The 3079-nt window shown below is 33.7% G+C and overlaps 2 annotated features.

Moving 5' to 3' along the window:
• Positions 948–1518: an enhancer, noted in NCBI's record as "H3K27ac-H3K4me1 hESC enhancer chr13:69282146-69282716 (GRCh37/hg19 assembly coordinates)". NCBI's record gives its function as "activates a minimal SCP1, AML or CMV promoter by ChIP-STARR-seq in naive H9 embryonic stem cells {active_cell/tissue: H9 hESC(naive)}" and the evidence as "EXISTENCE:reporter gene assay evidence [ECO:0000049][PMID:30033119]".
• Positions 1519–2089: an enhancer, noted in NCBI's record as "H3K27ac-H3K4me1 hESC enhancer chr13:69282717-69283287 (GRCh37/hg19 assembly coordinates)". NCBI's record gives its function as "activates a minimal SCP1, AML or CMV promoter by ChIP-STARR-seq in naive H9 embryonic stem cells {active_cell/tissue: H9 hESC(naive)}" and the evidence as "EXISTENCE:reporter gene assay evidence [ECO:0000049][PMID:30033119]".

Below are 3079 nucleotides of genomic sequence, written 5' to 3' on the forward strand. Positions count from 1 at the left end.
GTTTGAAAAGGGTGATCGTAAGGGATTGTTAGCAGATGTTCCCATTTAAAAATCAACCATCAAAAATTAGACATATATTTTATTCTAAAACTTTTTTGTACTACCTAGAAAACATATGTTAATTAATTTCATGTAAAAATATAAAATCACATGTTTTATATCCCATTCCTATTAATGGTTTTATTACTTTAATACTTACATGTCTGAAAAAAAAACCTTATTTTACTTGGGAAGCTATCTGAAATGATATGCATACATAAAGGCATGGTTTAGCTCAGTCACTTAACATCTCATCATTTATTTCTTCAGAGTTTATCACTCCTGTATATTTTAGCACTGGTCCTTTAGTGCAGAAAAATTTTTCTTCATGACTATTTGGTCTAGAATCAAACCATCTCCTCATATTATTTGTGTTTGGTTACAATGCAGTTTAAACAGTGTGCTCAACTACTAGTAGCTTAGTTACAGTTTGTCCATCTGTAATTCAATATTCCCAGTAAAATTTATTAGAAAATGTAGTTACCTTTGTGATAAAACAAGATAAAAATGGCCTACTACTAATAATCAAAACGGTTTGAAACATGGCTCAGAAAACCAGCAATTAGTTATCACTAATTAAGGGTTCCAAACTAGATGAATCATTTAACTGTTGCAGTCACAACAATAGCATATTTCAAGTGAAGGGATTGAAACTGATTTCCCTTCAAAAGCAAAGTTACAGTTTTCTGTAAGTGTGAAATTCTGAAAAGTTCACTTCTTTAATTCTGGAACTTCATTTCACTGTACTCTTTTCTTTTAAAAAATAAATATTAGAATTTTATTTTCCTCACAAGATAACTTGCAAAATCGTACAAAGGACATTATTGACAAATAGTTGTCTTTATGTTATGACACACAAATACACATACACGTATTTGTGTATCTAGCTGTTGAAAGATATTGACACAAATATAAGTGTAGGTATTTGTGCAGATGCAGGTATTTTATACATGAGTTAAAAACACGCTTTCCATTATCAAGCTTTACAGATTTGAATCCCAGATCCACAGCTTCTTATTTGTGTAAACATGCGCAACACTTTTATTTCCTCCAAAGCTCAGTTTTCTCCTTTCTATATGTCTAATAATACCCATTTCTTAGGTTTGTTGTTAAGAATAAACCACATAATTCACGCAAAGTTCTTAGCACTGAGCATGGGACATATTATATGTTAACTATACTTTAGCAATCATTATAATTATATTGCCATCAGATAATTTCTGTACTGCTTTTGTTAACATTCTCCCTGAGAAATATGTACAGTCACAGTAAATTTGAGGCAATCCATACGTTTCTGTTTGCTAGTGAAAGGAGTTAGCCAGCTTGCTTTAGGCAGACAGTAAGGGAAGGGTGCCCTGGAAAACCTCGGACCTACCCCACAAGCGCTTACACCAGATGTTTTGGGCAGATAAGGGAACATGCACAGGGTGCTTGCCTAAACATGCCCGCAGCGGACTGAGGACCCGCATGCGCACTGGGGGATGAGATCGCGCCACCAGGAATTCACGCATTGTGCAAAAAAGGAAACCAGCCTCATCGGCCTTGTATTTTGTAAAAGCCCTTGAATTCAACTGTGAAGGGGGCAACCGGGAACCTGCTTTCAGGACCCCTCTCTCTGCTGAGAGCTTCTCCACTGACTCTTCGACGTCTCCCTTCCTGTTTCTTCTAGGTCATGAGACAAGAACCCGGACCTAGCTGAGCTAAGCAGTAAAAAATATTCCATCACTAGGACACGGGTAGTTAATCTGCATCTCCTAGAGTAACAAAGTGGGTTAAATGAAACAAAATGAATCAGGACAAATGGCCTCTTTGTCATATTTTCACTGGTTCCATGTCCCTTCTAGAACCTCTGATTGCAATATTAATAATAACAATACTTCCCATAACTTAAGGAAAAATACAGTTTTTCCCACAAGGAAGAACTGGCCTACTTACAAAAACCATGTCCTTCTTTCTTATCTGAAAGCTGCTAGATTAAAGGAGAGTTGGGAGAAGGACCTGCGCATATGTTTTGACGTCATCCACATGGAAGATAGGAAAGAAAAGAGTCCTGAATAAGATAACAAGTTACAATAAAAGATAACAGTTCTCTATTTAAATGCCACTCTCAGAACCTGATGAAATTGTGGGCACCAGAAAGAAAGCTTATAATGTAGAAGGCTTTATGTAGTGTGGCTAAGTAGTATTTTGTAAACATTGTTAATAATTACGGCAATTGGTTAGATTAAAATGGATAGTGACATTAAGATAGACGAAAATAAAAAATTTATTACTGATATTTGGAATTGCACCAATTTTTTGGCTCCTAAGGCCAAGGTTTTCTTCTGTTCTATAAAAGTTGGCAAAGGCATATTGCTAATTTGGAGACATGAATTAGCAATTCTTAGATACTTTCTCATAATAATAGAAGTTTCTAAAGTTCTATTATTAGATTCACAATCTAATCTTTATTTAAACTATATTTACAATATATGGGTCATATGATAATTTGGGGCTTAAGTGATAATAGGAGTAGAATCTGAATAATATAAGAGCATTTTCTTGTGTAAATGGTGGTCTTATATTATTAATGTAATATGCAAATTTTCCTCATTATGTTATTTATATAGAGAGGGTCTATAAGGCTGTAATTAATACATTAAGTCCTATTAGAATGGTAAAATTAGATCATGAAAAGAATTCTGTAACTACCAATAGTTTTCCAGTCAGGTTGATAGTTGGTGGTAAGGCTAGATTTAGTTTGGCTAGCCAGTACTCATCATGTTGCTATGAGAGGAAGTAATGTCTGTAGTCCACGAGCTAATGTATAATTTGAAAATGAATTTGAGTTTAATATCTATATATTATATATATGCCATATATCATATGTATATATGTCAGTAACCAAAAGAAAACTAAAATAACTATCTTAATTTCAGACAAAGTGACATCAGAACACAGAATATTCTCATATTTAAAGGGGGATATATATATATATAATGATTTTCAAAAGGACATAAATATCCTAAATGCATATACATCTAACAACTGAGCTTAAAAA

Source organism: Homo sapiens, chromosome 13, assembly GCF_000001405.40.
Source record: "Homo sapiens chromosome 13, GRCh38.p14 Primary Assembly".
Lineage (NCBI taxonomy): Eukaryota > Metazoa > Chordata > Mammalia > Primates > Hominidae > Homo > Homo sapiens.